This window comes from Homo sapiens, chromosome 2, assembly GCF_000001405.40.
Source record: "Homo sapiens chromosome 2, GRCh38.p14 Primary Assembly".
NCBI classification, from domain to species: domain Eukaryota; kingdom Metazoa; phylum Chordata; class Mammalia; order Primates; family Hominidae; genus Homo; species Homo sapiens.
This window is the reverse complement of record NC_000002.12, coordinates 65,307,175-65,324,320: the sequence shown is the minus strand read 5'-3', so window position 1 is coordinate 65,324,320 and position 17,146 is coordinate 65,307,175. Positions and strand designations below refer to the sequence as shown.

At 47.5% G+C, this 17,146-nt stretch overlaps 1 protein-coding gene across 9 annotated transcripts in view, besides 1 other annotated feature; it reads left to right on the top strand.

The window, feature by feature from the left end:
* SPRED2 (sprouty related EVH1 domain containing 2) overlaps positions 1 to 17,146 on the top strand; it is a 125,425-nt gene extending 108,279 nt beyond the window's left edge. For 5 of the 9 annotated variants that reach the window (NM_181784.3, XM_047443709.1, NM_001128210.2 and 2 more), the window contains 2 exons: positions 7,438 to 7,587; positions 10,152 to 13,470. In NM_181784.3, coding sequence (NP_861449.2) covers positions 7,438 to 7,587; positions 10,152 to 10,820 — 819 coding nt within the window. In that variant the 3' untranslated portion in view covers positions 10,821 to 13,470. Of the gene's footprint in view, positions 1 to 7,437; positions 7,588 to 10,151; positions 13,471 to 15,747; positions 15,826 to 15,921 lie in introns of those variants that run through there. The other 4 variants (XM_005264200.6, XM_047443710.1, XM_005264202.6 and 1 more) reach the window with 2 other exon arrangements.
* Positions 743 to 832: an enhancer, noted in NCBI's record as "active region_15929". NCBI's record gives its function as "activates an Ori minimal core promoter by ATAC-STARR-seq in GM12878 lymphoblastoid cells {active_cell/tissue: GM12878}" and the evidence as "EXISTENCE:reporter gene assay evidence [ECO:0000049][PMID:35858748]".

Here is a 17,146-nt window from a genome sequence, read left to right as displayed (position 1 = left end):
CATTATTATTTTTTAAAATTCTGTCTCAAGTTTTGAAGCTCCATGGAGTTGCTCTCATTTGTCATCAAACTCTAGAGTTATGGGAAATATCTGAATTCTCAAAATAAGTACAGCCTGTGTCTATAGAATCTGGCAACTGGAAGCCTGCTCTTTTTTTGGAGATGTTGATCAGATGTTCACTGATAAACTTGAGCCCCCTTTTCTTCCTCTGGTCTACCCATCTAGAATGCTATGACCCATCTCAGACACACCCCTCTGGGAAGCTGCCTGACTCTGACCAGTGCTCTGAGGCCTGGTGCTTGAGGACTGCTCACCTGGCCTTGCCTCTTCCCGTGCCACGTGGCATCTCCCCCAACAACATGGTCACTTTCTGTGTCTGAGCCCACATCCCGCAAAGCACCCAACCCAAACCCAGAAACCCTTCTGGGAAGGGATGGATTTTTTTGAGACGGAGTCTTGCTCTGTCGCCCAGGCTGGAGTGCAGTGGCGCGATCTCGGCTCACTGCAACCTCTTCCTCCCACGTTCACGCCATTCTCCTGCCTCAGCCTCCCGAGTAGCTGGGACTACAGGTTCCTGCCACCACGCCCAGCTAATTTTTTGTATTTTTAGTAGAGACGGGGTCTCACCGTGTTAGCCAGAATGGTCTCGATCTCCTGACCTCGTGATCTGCCCGCCTCAGCCTCCCAAAGTGCTGAGATTACAGGCGTGAGTCACCGCGCCTGGCCAGGGATGGATTTTTTTTTTTTTACTACCATAGAGGATTTGGACAGGCCAGCCCTGTCCCTGTTTCTTGTTTTTTTAAATGTTGGCAGTGCCCACTTTCATTTCTGTACCCTCTGACACCTGCTTTCACCCCCTTCCCTTCTCTTTTCTTACTCTCTCCTTTCTGGGTTCTTCCTCATCAAAGGCTTGTCTCAGCTCACTGCCCTGTTAGAGGGCTTTAGAAACCAGGTCACACAGAGCTTGTTATTTGCTACTCAAAGTATGTGGTTTTTTTATAGTTACCATAGAAAAATTTGACAGTGGGCCAGGTGCAGTGGCTCATGCCTGTAATCCCAGCACTTTGGGAGGCTGAGGTGGGCGGATCACCTGAGGTCAGGAGTTGGAGACCAGCCTGGCCAACATGGCGAAACCCTGTCTCTACTAAAAATATAAAAAATTAGCCAGGTGTGGTGGCACGTGCCTGTGGTCCAGCTACTCAGGAGGCTGAGGCATAAGAATCGCTTGAACCCAGGAGGCGGAGGTTGCGGTGAGCCAAAATTGTGCCACTGCACTCCAGCCTGGGCGACAGAGCGAGACTCTGTCTCAAAAAATAAATAAATAAATCACATCACATATTAGTAAGGCATATTTAGTGAAAGACCGGTAGAATGTATCTGAGGAATGCAAAGAAGGTTTATGTTGGAAAAGCTGTTTAATTCACATATTAATAAAATAAAGGTGAAAGATTTTGTAATCATCTCAGTAGACAGAAAAATCATCTAATAACATCTAATATCTGGTGAAAATCCTTAGCAATCTAGAATAGAAGGAAACTTTTGGAACTTTATAATCACTCCAATTACCTAGAAATATTATATCTAATAGAAATTCATTAGAAGTAATTCTATCAAAGTCAGGTTCAAGACAAGCAGGACACTGTCCCCTCTGTTTTTCCATGTCATGTTGGAAGCCCTGGCAAAAGATGCAATGAGGTAAGAAGAAGATGGTATAAATATTGGAAAGGAGGCCGGGCACGGTGGCTCACGCCTGTAATCCCAGCACTTTGGGAGGCCAAGGCAGGTGGATAACGAGGTCAGGAGATTGAGACCATCCTGGCTAACAAGGTGAAACCCCATCTCTACTAAAAATACGAAGTATTAGCCGGGTGTGGTGGCAAGTGCCTATAGTCCCAGCTACTTGGGAGGCTGAGGCAGGAGAACGGCGTGAACCTAGGAGGCAGAGCTTACAGTGAGCCGAGATCGTGCCACTGCACTCCAGCCTGGGCAACGGAGCAAGACTCCGTCTCAAAAAAAAAAAAAAAAATATATATATATATATATATATATAGAGAGAGAGAGAGAGAGAGAGAGAGAGAGAGAGAGAGAGAGGAAAGGAGACCAAACTATCTTTTGTGAGCAAAATGATTTACTTAGAAAAATCTAGTTTCATAAGGGAGCTAAGCAAAACAACCAGATACAGGATCAACATACAGAATCAGTAACTTTCATATACCAGCAGTCACAGTTTAAAATAGAAATTTTTAGGCCAGGCGTGGTAGCTCATCCCTGTAATCCTGGCACTTTAGGAGGACAAGGTGGGCAGATTGCCTGAGCTCAGGAGTTGGAGACCAGCCTGGGCAACCTGGTGAAACCCCATCTCTACTAAAAAAATCAAAAAATTAGCCAAACGTGTTGGCACGTGCTTGTAATCCCAGCCACTCGGGAGGCTGAGGCATGAGAATCGCTTGAACCCAGGAGGCGGAGGTTGCAGTGAGCTGAGATTCCGCCGCTGCACTCCAGCCTGGGTGACAGATCAAGGCTCTGTCTCAAAAAAATGTATAGCAAAATAGAAATTTTAAATCCCATTTTATTTTTGCCATAACCCCAAGGAAGATTTTGGCCCAATTTTACAGATGTAAACACTGGAGTTAGAGATTAACTTGACCAAAATCATCTTATAATTAGCAGAGAATGATTCAAATCTAATCTGCCTGAGCTGAGACCCTGTTGTTTTTAGCATTGTAATACTCCCCTCGTTTCTGTTGTTCAGTGCCTCATATTAGGTTGCACACTTCTTAATTGGACATCTTTTTTTTTTTTTTTTTTTTTTTTTTAGACAGGGTCTTGATTTGTTGCCCAGGCTGGTCTCGAACTCTTGACTTCAAGCGATCCTCCTACCTCAGCCTCCCAAAGCGCTGGGATTACAGGCATGAGCAGCTGCACCCAGCTGGACATCTTTTTAGCAACAGGCATTGACATTGAGTCAGAGTCAAACCCAAAGGCAAGAGTGTTTTTAGAGGGTACATTTGCAGGTGGCAAGGGCTGTGCTCCCTGCATCATAGTGCACAAGACCTCCCAGTGTCAGCTGGGGCCAGATGGCAATGCCAGCCTCAGTGTCCACAGCAGGAGACATTAAACGCCCACTCTGACCTGCTCTCTCAGGATGCTGCAGTCATGCCTTCTAGGAGCCTGAAGTCCCCGAGCACAGAGTAGTCACAGGGGACCTCTGCTTTTGTTCTTCAAAGCCCTAACAGTTCTTAGACCCCCACTGGAGAGCAAGGGGAGTGTAGATACAGTTGGGAGCATGTGATTGCCAACTTTTTCATTGAAGGTGACAGCTTTCAGATTGGTAGGTTGGTAGGTGTCAGTAGCTTGTGCACAGAAATAACAGAGAGATGTTTAAGAATCTTGCTTGTGTATTAGGTATGTGCATACCTCAGGTGGGCTGCTTTTCTGCAGCCCACGGAAACCAGGGCAGAGTTATAGGAGAGCCAGTTCAGAGGTGCATGAGGGTAAAAGGAGATTTTTTTTCCCCTTTGCCTTTCTTGGAGATGCCCTGGTAGTACATTCCTTTTGTTTGTAGGTCACACTAGCTGCTTTGTAAGAATCATCTGTTAGTATCCATCTGAAATAGCCTTGGCTTCCAATGGAATCTTCTGGGAGTTCAGACAACCCTGAACAGCTGGGCCTGGAAGACTGCAGGCTCGGCTAGGACGCAACCTCAGCTCTGCCCTCAGGAGGCAGTAGACTGTGGACATGCCTCTCGAGGTCTTCTGGCCTTCTTGCTTCACTGTAGAAATTCGTCATCAGATAAGGCCTTTCTCAGTCTCACATCCTCTGACAAATGTCTGGGGAGCTTTGCACTGGACTGTGCAGGGAGAGAGGGCTGGGGAGGTGGGATGGGAATATCGGAAGGTAGCATTTCTGATCGACTAATGAGTCCTAGGAAAAGCCGGATGTGCCTCATTTCTCAGAAGGACTTTCTACACATTGTTAACCCAAAAGTGGGTCACAGAAAATAGGCTGAGTTAGGGTGAACAGATGACTAACACAGTGGTGACCGTGGTGTGTTAAATGGGCTTCTGAGAACTAAGTACTGAGAGCTTATTACAATGTTCAACACAAGGCTAACTTCTAACCTAATAGATGACTGTAACGTGGCTGTTGGATAAGAATTTAACTCTTGAGATTTGAATCACACTGAAAGGCCCTGATTACTCATTTGAGAGGTATTTATTGAGATCTGTAGTAACCTTTGTACTGTGAGACATCATCTCCTCATCTCCTGGGTTTGTATACAGCAGGGTGTACCTTGTGACTTGGAGAAGTTGTGTTTTGTGTTAATCTCAACAAAATACCTCTTAGCATAGGAGCTGGAAGTGGACTTACCTGGCTGTGAGAGGCAGCAGTGTGTGGGGCCTATTAGAAATCTCCCTGGGCTTTGTGGTCAGGGAGGCTGCATTTCAGTCCCAGCTCTGCCAGTGACTGTGCTGCCATGGCCTGGATTCACCATCTCTCAGAGTCCCTTAGTGCCAGTGTGTGACATGGAGATAGTGTTTTACCTGTGACCTGCTGGCCATGCTGAGGAACCGTGTCCACAAGTAGCTCAGGGCCTGGCACACCATAAGCACTCACACATATGACACCAAGAAGAGTTGTTTGTGAGGAAGAGGAGGGAACCTGGGGAGGAGTAAGGGGTAGAGAGAAGCCAGGAGTGTGGTGCCTGTGGGACTGCTTTGGAAGGAATCCATAGTGAAGGGAAAGTGCACCCAAGTGACAAACCCAGTGTATTCTGGCTTAAGTCACAAAAGAGAATTGGTGTCATCATTGGGACATCCTCGAGTGGTCAGGATTCAGGCTTGGCTGGATCCAGCAGCTCAAAGGGACTAAGGGTGGCTTCTCTTGCTCCCATCCTCAGACAAGTCCTTTCCCCACACCCGTGCCAGGATTCAAGGCTTATAGGACCCTTAGATCTTGATTACAGAAATGGAGACAGCTGCTTTTCTGACCGCTCTGTCAAAAGTCTCTCTATATTGCTTCGGAGAGCACCGTGTGTTCATATTGAAATTAGTCACCATGGCTTGGGGGATCAGAAGCAGGCATCAGCCATGCATGGCATAGACCAAACCCAAGTAGAGAAACATCCAGGAGGGTTGGGTCTCCAGAGGGATGCTGCACATGTGGACCAAGGTGTAAAAACTAACAATGCTTATGTTGCATAATGGAAATATGGGTGTGTTTTTCCTAAATTCTTGTAGTGCTTTTTTTCTAAGTATGTACTACTTTATAAATGAGAGGAGGATAAAAAGAACTTTTGTAAGTCTATTTGTTTTGCCCTTGTCCCTAAAATGATTTATGATAGCTAACAAAAACATGTAAAGTGATAGATAAGTCAGGGTATGGTGGCTCATGGCAGTAATCCCAGCATATTGGGAGGCCAAAGCAGGAGGATCACTTGAGCCCAGGAGTTCAAGACCAGCCTGGGCAACTTGGCAAGACCCCCGTCTCTACAAAAAATACAAAAATTAGCCAGGGGTGGTGGTGCACACCTATTGTCCCGGCTACTCAGGAGGCTGAAGCAGGGGGATCACTTGAGCTGTGTTCATGCCACGGCACTCCAGCTTGGGTGACAAAGCAAAATCCTGTCCCAAATACATAAATAAATACATTTAAAAATATATATATAAGCAAATGAGATGAGGGGAATATACAAGTAAGAAACAGTAGCCAAAGGAAAGTTCCTGTAGATTTGCAAGAAAGAGAGCATCTAGAGATCAGAAAAAGCCTTTTCTTTTCATCTGTTTAGTTGGGGAATGGTAGAGGGTGGAGAGATATGTCACTCTAAGCAAGCAGAAGGAAGGGTAGGGATTCTGGGGGTCCTGGTTTTAAAGATGGTTGCCAGCTGCATCTAACAAGGCCCCTGGATAGCCCCTGGGCCCAGAGGGTTGTGGAGTATGACCACCACCTGGGGTCGCCTGGCCTGCTCCGTTGTGTCTCAGGTGGGAGTATTAGTCTATTTTCTCGCTGCTGATAAAGACATACCGGAGACCGGGCAATTTTCAAAAGAAAGAGATTTAATTGGACTTACAGTTCCGCATGGCTGGGGAGGCCTCACAATCATGGCGGAAGGCAAGAAGGAGCAAGTCACATCTTACGCGGATGGTGGCAGGCAAAAAAAGAGCTTGTGCAGGGGAACACCTCTTTTTAAAACCATCAGATCTGAGACTTATTCACTATCCCGAGGACAGCACGGGAAAGACTTGCCCCAATGATTCACTTACCTCCCAGCAGGTCCCTCCCACAAATTCATGATGAGTTTTGGTTGGGGACACAGCCAAACCATATCAGGTGGCATACTGGGTGCCTGTGGGATCTGCTTGTACAGTGCGCACTGATAGCTAATCACCTTCCAAAGACATGGTTACGGAGACTCCAGTCTTAACTTGACATCTCTACTGGGCAAAACAGCTCTGTACTCCCCCTTCACAGAGGTGGCCTCTGTTTTTCTATGCAGTCATCCATCTCACTTCCAGTTTAAAGTGACCTCCAAGTCTTGCTCCCAACCCCAAAGATACAAAATTTATTCTTGGAAATCCAGTACTCAAGATACGCCAGCCAGCGGTATCCTTACCTCTGAGACTCTCCCAGGTGGAGATTTCCCCCCTCCATATAAACACGTGGGTTTCATTTTTGCCTGTGTGCGTCTTCCCTGCTTGCCATAACACCTCACAACCAGGGCCACAGATGGGATAACCATTCTTTTATTTATGTTTTGTTTTTGTTGTTGTTGTTGTTGTTGTTGTTGTTGTTGTTGTTGTTGTTGTTTGAGATGGAGTCTTGCTCTGTCACCCAGGCTGGAGTACAGTGGCTCAGTCTTGGCTCACTGCAGCCTCCGCTTCCCGGGTTCAAACAATTCTCCTGCTTCAGCCTCCCGAGTAGCTGGGATTATAGGCACCTGCCACCATGCCTGCCTAATTTTTGTATTTTTAGTAGAGACAGGGTTTTGCCATATTGGCCAGGCTGCTCTTGAACTCCTTACCTCAGGTGATCCGCCCGCCTTGGCCTCCCAAAGTGCTGGGATTACAGGCATGAGCCCCCGCGCCTGGCCAGGGTAACCATTCTTGATCAAACTAGAACACAAACCTTTGGGGAGCCTGGTATATCCAGCCTTTCCCCCCGCACCCAGTCACTATTCCCGCATTTAAGAAAAACCTACCTTTCCAGGGTCTGGTGGCTGGGCTTCTCTGCCTGTTGAACCAGCCACATTGTGTTTAGACAATCTGGCCATTCAGGGGTCCTCCTGTTGTAGCCAAGACAAACTCAAGATTTTGGGAAGAGCAGCAAATTGCCACAACCAGGGAATAGCTAGTATTTGAATAGTGCATGTCAGGGTTTGCTGCGTGGGGTTTTTGTTGTTGTTTTTAAATTGACTCTTGGTTACCTCCCTCTACACAGACAGCTACAGACAGTTCTTCTAATTCCTCTCAGAAGAGAGAGCAACCTACTCGGACAATCTCCTCTCCCACATCCTGTGAGCACCGGAGGATTTATACCCTGGGCCACCTCCACGACTCATACCCCACAGACCACTATCACCTCGATCAGGTGAGCAGCAGCCCTGTTCCTCTGAGGGCATCAGGGTGGTGCCTCTGATTCTGGAATGGCCTCTTTCCCCTCCTATTCAGCCAAATTCCATGACCACAGGCCTCTCCTGCTCCTGCCTTTACCCCCACTTCATATTGAAAGTGGCATTGGTGGTGGCACCTCAGCCTCATCCAGTGTTTTCTGTGTGCCAGACACCTTGCCAGACCCTTTATATGCTTTATGTGGTTTAATCCTCAGAAACTGCCCCACAAGGCAAGTCTTCAGCCTCCCCAGGTTATCGATGAGGAAGCTGAGGCTTAGAGAGGTGGAGTATCTGATGGAACGAGATTCAAATCCAAGCCTGTTCTCACCCAGGGGGCTACACTGCGTCCTGCATTCCTCTGTCCAAAGGGCCTCCCAGCTTTGTGTGGAAGCCCAGAGCCACAATCAGGACTAAGGAATGCTGCACACTTGGCTCGAGCCCCCAGCCTTACAGGCTACAGGCCCAGTCTTGCTCAGGCGGATGTAGCTGGAGCTCAGAATTCGGTAGTTCAACAAATATTTACCAAGTGGCTGCTTTGCAGAGCAAGTTCCCAAATCATGGGGCATGGACTGGTGCCTGTGTGGGGTGCTGTGGCCACTAGGCTGCTTTGAAATGAGAAAAAAGGGCAGTGAGTTGTTTTGTTTTGTTTTTAAACATAAAACTAGATTTATTTGACTCTTTTTAAAAAAATTATTTTAGATTGTGCTTCCTAATATTTTGGGATTAAAATGTCCTATTTAAAAATCACATTATTGGCCAGGTGCAGTGGCTCATGCCTGTAATCCCAGCCCTTTGGGAGGCCGAGGCAGGTGGATCACAAGGTCAGGAGATTGAGACCATCCTGGTTAACACGGTGAAACCCCGTGTCTACTAAAAATACAAAAAATTAGCTGGGTGTGGTGGCGGGCGCCTGTAGTCCCAGCTACTCGGGAGGCTGAAGCAGGACAATGGCGTGAACCCAGGAGGTGGAGCTTGCAGTGAGCCAAGATTGCGCCATTGCGTCATCGCAACAGAGCAAGACTCCATCTCAAAAAATAAATAAATAAATAAATATCACATTATGCTAGCAGTAGATGGAAATTAACTTTTTTACTTTCCTTACTGTCCAAAATAAAGAATTAGTAAAGCCCGTGTCAGTTTCCGAGATTTGTTTTGAAATCCTTCTGAAATCATGATTTTCAAAAATCTAGGCAACTCTGATACCAAGAATTTGACAGGAATTAAGGTAAAATGTGTGGGACATGGCCCTGCCCTCTGGTAGGAAGTGATGGGTAAATCTAATAAGCGCATGATCAAGTCCGTAACAATATGATAATGACTGTGATGGCGAGAGTTATCAAGTGCATCCTGTGAGCAAGGCTGTGAGCTGACACCCTCTGTAGATTGTTTCTCTTCATTCTCAAAACAGTCCTATGCAGTTCGACAGAAATGGAACCTGAGTCTTAGGTACTAGCTAGAAAATGTCAGCATTTGACTGCAGTGAGTCACTCCAGAGCCACGTTCCTCAACCCCTGAAAAACCTTCATGCCCAAAGGACTTCGAAAGCAAGAAGTCTCAGTTCTCTGCCTCCACTGAGAGGCCCTGGGTGAGCCAGGGTTATATGCATGTAATTAATAAATATTTATTCAGTGTCTGCTGCTCTGGACAAGGCAGGGTTGCAGCCTGTAGCAGGACTAACTGCAGAGAAAAGCCTCTTCCACCCTGAGGGAGAATGCAGCTTAGATTTGCAGGTTTCTAGAGGGTGTGGCTCTTGGTCTGGCCACTCACTATTTGTGAGATCCTGGCAGGAGTGAAACTTCAGTTTCCGGAGCCTTCACTCTATCCTTCTCCTGTCCGCATCTCACCAGATGACATGGTGAGCTACTGTTTCCTAGTGTCCCCTGTCTCTTGAAGGAGACACCCACAGGGAGAAATGCATCTCCTATTGTGATCCTTTGTGGACATATTGTGCACATATGGATAATGAAGTTTCGTAAAACAGGACTTACCTTCTCACATGTATTGCACTCCAGTGTCCTTATTCTATTTCAATTTTTAAAAAGCCAGCCTTACAAAAGAGAACATACCATACAAAAATAGGCAAAACTAATGCAGGCCTTTAGAAGTGAGTGTAGCCCTCACACTGGGGCTAGGAGATCCCTGAGGGAGGCGGAAGATACTCTGGGGCACAGGTCCTGTTCTGCCTCTTGATCTGAGTGTGCCATGCTCCTGAGAACGCATCACACTGTGCCCTTGCCATGTGCACACTCCCCTGCCTGTATGGCAGTGCGTCACCAGAAAGGGAAAATACTGCCGGTCTCAACCCACGAAATTGATTTCCTGGCCCATTAATGGATTGAGACTCTATTTGAAATACATCTCTGACTGGGCGACAGGATATTCAGTAATTTCAGGAAGGGTCTGTTTCTTCACGGAGCATCGTGATGGAGTTATCGAGAAAGGTGCATTTTGGACGGCTAGGGAGGGAGAAGGTGGGGTGTTTTTTTGTTTGTTTGTTTTTTGGCCGCTGCTGTAAAATAATGTCTCCTCTCCTACGGGACAGCCGATGCCAAGGCCCTACCGCCAGGTGAGCTTCCCGGACGACGACGAGGAGATCGTGCGCATCAACCCCCGGGAGAAGATCTGGATGACGGGGTACGAGGATTACCGGCACGCACCCGTCAGGGGCAAGTACCCGGACCCCTCGGAGGACGCGGACTCCTCCTACGTGCGCTTCGCCAAGGGCGAGGTCCCCAAGCATGACTACAACTACCCCTACGTGGACTCCTCAGACTTTGGCCTAGGCGAGGACCCCAAAGGCCGCGGGGGCAGCGTGATCAAGACGCAGCCCTCCCGGGGCAAGTCGCGGCGGCGGAAGGAGGACGGAGAGCGCTCGCGGTGCGTGTACTGCAGGGACATGTTCAACCACGAGGAGAACCGCCGGGGCCACTGCCAGGACGCGCCCGACTCCGTGAGAACTTGCATCCGCCGGGTGAGCTGCATGTGGTGCGCGGACAGCATGCTCTATCACTGTATGTCGGACCCCGAGGGAGACTATACAGACCCTTGCTCGTGCGATACTAGCGACGAGAAGTTTTGCCTCCGGTGGATGGCTCTTATTGCCTTGTCTTTCCTGGCCCCCTGTATGTGCTGTTACCTGCCCCTTCGGGCCTGCTACCACTGCGGAGTGATGTGCAGGTGCTGTGGCGGGAAGCACAAAGCGGCCGCGTGACTCAGTTTCCCTCCCTTCTCCCTCCATCCGCAGCCACAGGGGAACTCGTCTCTTACATACTCTCATCTTCTCCCCCGCTCCCTTCCACTCCAAGGAGCGAGGAGGGCAAGCGGCCTCCCAGCTCCCTGGTACCTCGAGGCACCATTCCAGCCAGGGACGCTGCCGGGTAGACTCTCCACTCCCCCTGCCGCCCACACTGCAGCAGCCACATCCATACACACACGCTCGCACAGTGTTCTGAGGAAGGAACCTTCGCCACAGACTCCTGTACTATTAACAATCTGTAACCAAGCTAACTGTCTCATCCATGTGTTGATTTCCTGTTTCCTCCTCCCCCGCCTCTTCCAGTTCAAAGGAGTCTGCAATTGGAACTGCTGATTTTCGGTGGGTTTTGTAGTTGATTTTTCCAAGAGCGTCGAAGACTCTCTTTCTCTTGGTTCACCTTGCCTGTCGCTAGCAAGCATCTGGTTCAGCGGAAATGGGATGTGAGAATGATGAAACCCGACAGAAGTATCTCAGCCTGCAGTCAGTTATTATGTATAGGAGGTGAGCTAGTTAACAAACTTGTACCACAAAACAATATCGCTTTAACTTTTCTAAAGCCAAATTTCCCATGTAAGCTGCAGTTTCTATCTTTAGCCCATCATCATTTTCTGCCCCCCCAAAATCTGTTGAAATGATTCACTGATGCAAAACATTCACCCGTAATAGACTGAGAATTGAGCCTTAACTTCAGATTAACTTGTGAGAATCAGGAAAATTCCTTCAACTGCATTGCATCCTCTTGGACCAGGGCTAGAATGGGGATTTCAGGTTTCTATGAGCCTCCCCATTACCCCTAAAGTAGAACATTTTTTAAATTGTGTTGCCACCACTTCTAAAAATTTAGCAATATTAGAATAGGATACTAGTGAAGTAAGAAATTTTGCTTGTTGTTTTGCAAACCAAATAGTTTCCTCAAACACAAATCAGTGTTCCCACGAACAAGTTCCAGTTGAGAAACACTAAGGTTATGGTGAATAAAACCATAGGGAGCTTCTTCCCCCCAACCCCTGGCTATTTTATATTAATGGGGAGAGGGGATTTTTAAATGTCATAAATTTGAAGAGTGGTGGGTTGCATTTTCTTCATGGGTTTATGTTTTCGTTTCATTTTGGACTCAATTTCACATCACCAAATTCCTCATTTATACTTGGGGAAAAAACAAGGCCATATGTAAAAACCCTTCCAATGCCTAAGTGTCTTTCTCCTGCAACTCCAAACCCAGACTCGCCACTTTGGGTGCACAGGTGGTTAGGTCAGCCAACTGGTTCTGCCTGTCGCCTTGCCACGGAGGAGGCTTCTAATTAGCTGGAAAAGAGTATTTTTCTAATACGTTGCAAGGATTAGCCAAATCTTCTTATTGAAGAAAGAAGAAAAGTGAAGAGTGGTTACCTATACCTAGCATAGTACAATCAGAACCTCGTGGAGACCACCGGGGACAGGCTTGCGGACGCCGGCTGTTCTTCCCGCCACGATCTTTCTGTGGTAGCGGCCAGCAGAAGACATGGCCTGCTCCCCACTCCCTTTCCCCACTCCTTCTTTATTGCACACAGGACACCAGTCTTCAAGGAAAGGGACTTTTTTCCAGTCTGCCAATCATATTGGGAAAGTGCTAGCTGTGCTCACCTTCATGGGGCTGTTTCCAGCTCGTCCACAAGCTCATCGATTTTCTTTAGTAGATTACCGGTGTAAATACCCAGTGTGCTTATGAGTCAGTTAGTAGACGTCTTCATTCATTGGAGTAACTGGTTTAGGCTTTCCAGTTTGGAAAAGGAGCAGAGAGCTGTCCATCTGGATTGATGGAAGAAAAGAGAACCTCATCCATGCCTGGAGAACATCTAGAAAACCTTCAGCCAGCCTCCAGTGCTGTCGAGAGACCACCTTCCCCCGACCCGGAGGCACTTCCTTGGGGTCTTTCTCTAGGGTCTCTTCTCTACAAAGCACAACACTAATGTTCGTTTCCTTAGACCTCAGTTCAAGTGCCCCTATTTATTTCAATAAGAACGCACATATCCCAGCTGTTTTTTGTTTGTCACCTCTATTTAGTTGTTACCTGTTTCTCTCTTCTTTCACCCCTTGTCCTTTTCCACCCTTTTAAGAGTTACGCTAGCAGATCTTACTCCACGTATACTTTTTGGTTTGTGAAGGCATCGGTTAAGGGCACAAAGACAGCCATGGGGACATTTATGTAAATACGTCTCTAATTGCCACACTGCAGCTGAACAGTGTGTAGTATTTTCCCAGTCAGCTTTGCCATACTGACGTCAATCATTTGAGAGAAATTATTCAGATTTTATTTTTGTATCTGTGGTAACAAAACATTAACCAAAAGATTTTCTGTCCAGAAGCCTCCCCGACCCCCCAAGCTATTTGCTCACATTAACAAATTAAAGTGCCTGAAGCATAATTCATTCTTTACCTGTATACTAAAAACCCTGTTGTATTGATTTTTTTATAATAAGCCTTTTTACCTCTGTGTAAAAAATATATATACAAGTGTATGATGTACATTTTAGTTCTTAACTTTTTTTTATGGTTTCTAATATGTATGACCAATGTAGCCATTGCTTTAAAATGTACCGTGTAAATATAAACACATCCTATCAGATCGCTGGCTTTGGGGTATTTGTCTGGCAGGAGACGAGGTGATGCTAGAGCGTTGGCAGATCTTGGAGTTCCCGCATACAGGATGGGACAGGGCTTCCTGTGCCGAAGGACATGTGGACACCGGTCTGTTTTTTCAAGGCCCTTTCCTCCTATGGTTATGTCATATTCCCAAGGGGAGACTGCAGCTCCTTGGGCTCGGATGCCTCAGTGAAAGGAAGGCTGCAGGCCACCGCCCAGGAACACCCCCTCTTCCTAGGCCTGGCTTCCCCAACGAGCGCTCCTCAGAGGGAACAGCTGTACTTCCTCTAAGTTGTTTTCCACTGATCCCTGCTGAACCTCAGGGATATGTGTGTGTGTGTGTGTGTGTGTGTGTGTGTGTGTGTGTGTGTGTGTAGTTTGGAGGACAATTTCTCGCAGAAAACAATTGTTAACACTGCAAGATGCTTGGTCTCCTCCGAGCAGCTCTCTTTGGCCCACTTTCCTTTCCAAATTGACACTTTGGATGCTCCAGAGCTACAGTGACAATCCCCAGGAGGAAATAAAGTATGAGGTCTTCTGAGGGTCACAGAGAAAAATTTCTCTAGAGAAAGGAGTAGGGCCCTTAAAAGGAGATATATAGGAGGGGCCTTGCGTCTTAGTGTTAACGTTTCAGTTTTAACTCTTCCTAAAGGGGGTGATTTTCGCAAGCCACTGGCAAAGGTGAGAAGCATGGAGAGATGTTGGAAGTTAGGAAGGGAGAGGAGGACTTGGAGGAGTGGGGAAAGAGTCCTACGAGCTCACTTGCCCTCATGCTCCCTGCAAGACAGGGCCCTCCTGTCATCCCTGTGTCACAGTTGAGCAACTGAAGCTTAGAAAGGGTGAGTAACAGGTAAACTGCGGTCCCAGGAGGCAAGGACTGAACCAGGCTGAGCTGGGCTAGCCAACTGCAGAGCCCAGGTCCTTACCAGGCCTCACTCTGATGCCTCTGTTCCTTCCTTCCCTGCTGGTGGCCTTGACAAGTGGGCGACAGTCAAGAGCCTTATCCTGTCCGTCTGGTTCTCTGGGGCGCCCTCAGGCTGCCTCAGGTATAGTTTGTCTTTGGTGTCCTATGTGCTAGGCCGGAACTGGGCATACCACCAACGTCATGTTTAACTTTCTGCGGAATGCAGGATTCTTTTCCACCTTACAAGTGAGGAAGCACACATGTAAAGAAACAACAGTAACCCTCAGTATCCATGGGGGATTGGTTCCAGGACCCCCTGCAGATAGAAAATCCACAGATGCTCAAGTCCCTGATATATTTGCATATAACCTATACACATCCCACATCCTCCCTCTTATATCCTTTTTTTTTTTTTTTTTTTTTTGAGACAGGGTCTCACTCTGTCACCCTTGCTAGAATGCAGTGGCACAGTCATGGCTCACCGTAGCCTTGACCTCCTGGACTCAAGTGATTCTCCCACCTTATCCCCTCGAGTAGCTAGGACTACAGGTGCACATCACCATGCCCAGCTAACTGTTTTTAAATTTTTTTCATAGAGATGGAGGTCTCACTGTTGCCCAGGCTGGTCCTGACCTCCTGGGCTCAAGAGATCCTCCCACCTCAGCCTCCCAAAGTGCTAGGATTACAGTCATGAACCACCATGCCTGGCCCTTTCTTTGTTTTGTTTTTTCTTAACCTCTATTAAAACACTTTAATGATTTTTTTTTTTTTTTGAGACTGAGTTTCGCTCTTGTTGCCCAGGCTGGAGTGCAGTGTTATGATCTTGGCTTACTGCACCCTTCGCCTCCCGGGTTCTAGTGATTCTCCTGCCCCAGCCTCCTGAGTAGCTGTAATTACAGGCACCCGCCACCACACCCGGCTAATTTTGTATTTTTAGTAGAGACAGGGTTTCACCATGTTGGTCAGTCAGGCTGGTCTCAAACTCCTGACCTCAGCTGATCCACCCACCTTGGCCTCCCAAAGTGTTGGGATTACAGGTGTGAACCACCATGCCCAGCCTAAATGAATATATTTTCGATGTGAGGTTGGTTGAATCCACAGATGCAGAAAACATGGATACAGAGGACCGACTACACCTAACTCCATAAAGGTCACTGGACAGCCTTTCTGCCATTACTAGCCATTAGTTCTTGGGCAAGTGACTTCACCTTTCTGAGTTTTCTCAGATTTAACAAGTGGGATAATACCTACCCTCAGCTGGCGTGAAGGTTAAATGATATGCTTTAGTTACAGTGGGATACGCAGCAGGTGCCCCAAAAATGCTAGTTCCTTTCTCAGTCCCTTTTTTATTCTGAGGCCCTGAGGAAACATCAGGAACTCGAGAGAACAACCTCTTTCAAGGCACAGAAGGCTGAAGCGCATTATCAATATTTTGTGAGTATTTAGATCTACATCCTGTGTGTTGAGATTTCTATTTCTTAACTTCTATTTGATCTGAATTTGATTTCAGTTTCTTGCTGACCCCTCCAGGTATGTTCACAGCTCCAAGGACGGCTGCAGAAGTGCACTAAGCTGGCTGGGTTTCTGGGAGCCAATGCATCCAACTGGTAAAAAGTCGGTGGCCTCTGTGGGAGCGGTTTTGCCGAGAGGGCAGGGTCCTGCTCAGTGGCACTTGCCCTGGGTCAGAGCACTGTCTCCAGAGTACTGCCTGCCTGAACCTCCCACCCCGCTTCTCTGGCCTTTGGGGTCGCCTCCTGCAAGTCACGCCTCTGCCCTTCCTCCCTGCTGCTGCCCTGATGCTGGTCCACTACCCACTTCCCTGAATGGTGGACACCCCCCAGAAAATCAGGACACTTCCCAGGGGAAAAAGTATTGTTAGAGGAGCTCTATTTTACAGGACTCACAGGCTGGGTTTTGTTGGTTATGTATTGTGGCATTGGAGCAGGCAATCACAGGGCCATCTGTGTGAATGGGGGGGGCGGGGGGTGTGGGGAGGAGGCTTGTGAAAGTGCCCGCCAATGCGGGCGTCCTCACTGGAAGCCCGTTGGTCTTTCCGATTCGTGGGGTGAGATGGTTAGAAAAACCGCTCTTCCTTTGTTTAGAACTGAACTAGGTGCATGGAATGAAGGGCAATGACCCTGTTAACATCTTGTAGAACCAGATACCAGTTGTAACTGTGCAAATCAGGGCCTGCCCCATCTCCTCAGCTGGAGCAGCCACTGGTGCTATTGGTGCCGTGGTGGCAAGCTGAGCTCCTAAAGGGCACTGTTGGGGTCAGGGAAAGCATATATATTTATAAAGGAGGAAAAAGACAGTTATTATGTGATAATCATACCTGGTACCCTTTCCCCCTCATTATGTCTTTTTTTTTTTTTTTTTTGAGAAGGGGTTGTGATTATAGAAGTAACATATGTAGTTATTAAAATGTCATACAGGCCAGGTGGAGTGGCTCACACCTGTAATCCCAACACTTTGGGAGGCCGAAGAGGGTGGATCACTTGAGGTCAGGAGTTCAAGACCAGCCTGGCCAACATGGTGAAACCCCATCTCTACTAAAAATACAAAAATTAGCCAGGCGTGGTGGCGCATGCCTGTAATCGCAACTACTCAGGAAGCTGAGGCACAAGAAATGCTTGAACTTGGGAGGCAAAGGCTGCAGTGAGCTGAGATCAAGCCACTGCACTCCAGCCTGGGCAACAGCGCAAGACTCTGTCTCTAAATAAATAAATAAATAAAATGTCATATAATATAAAAA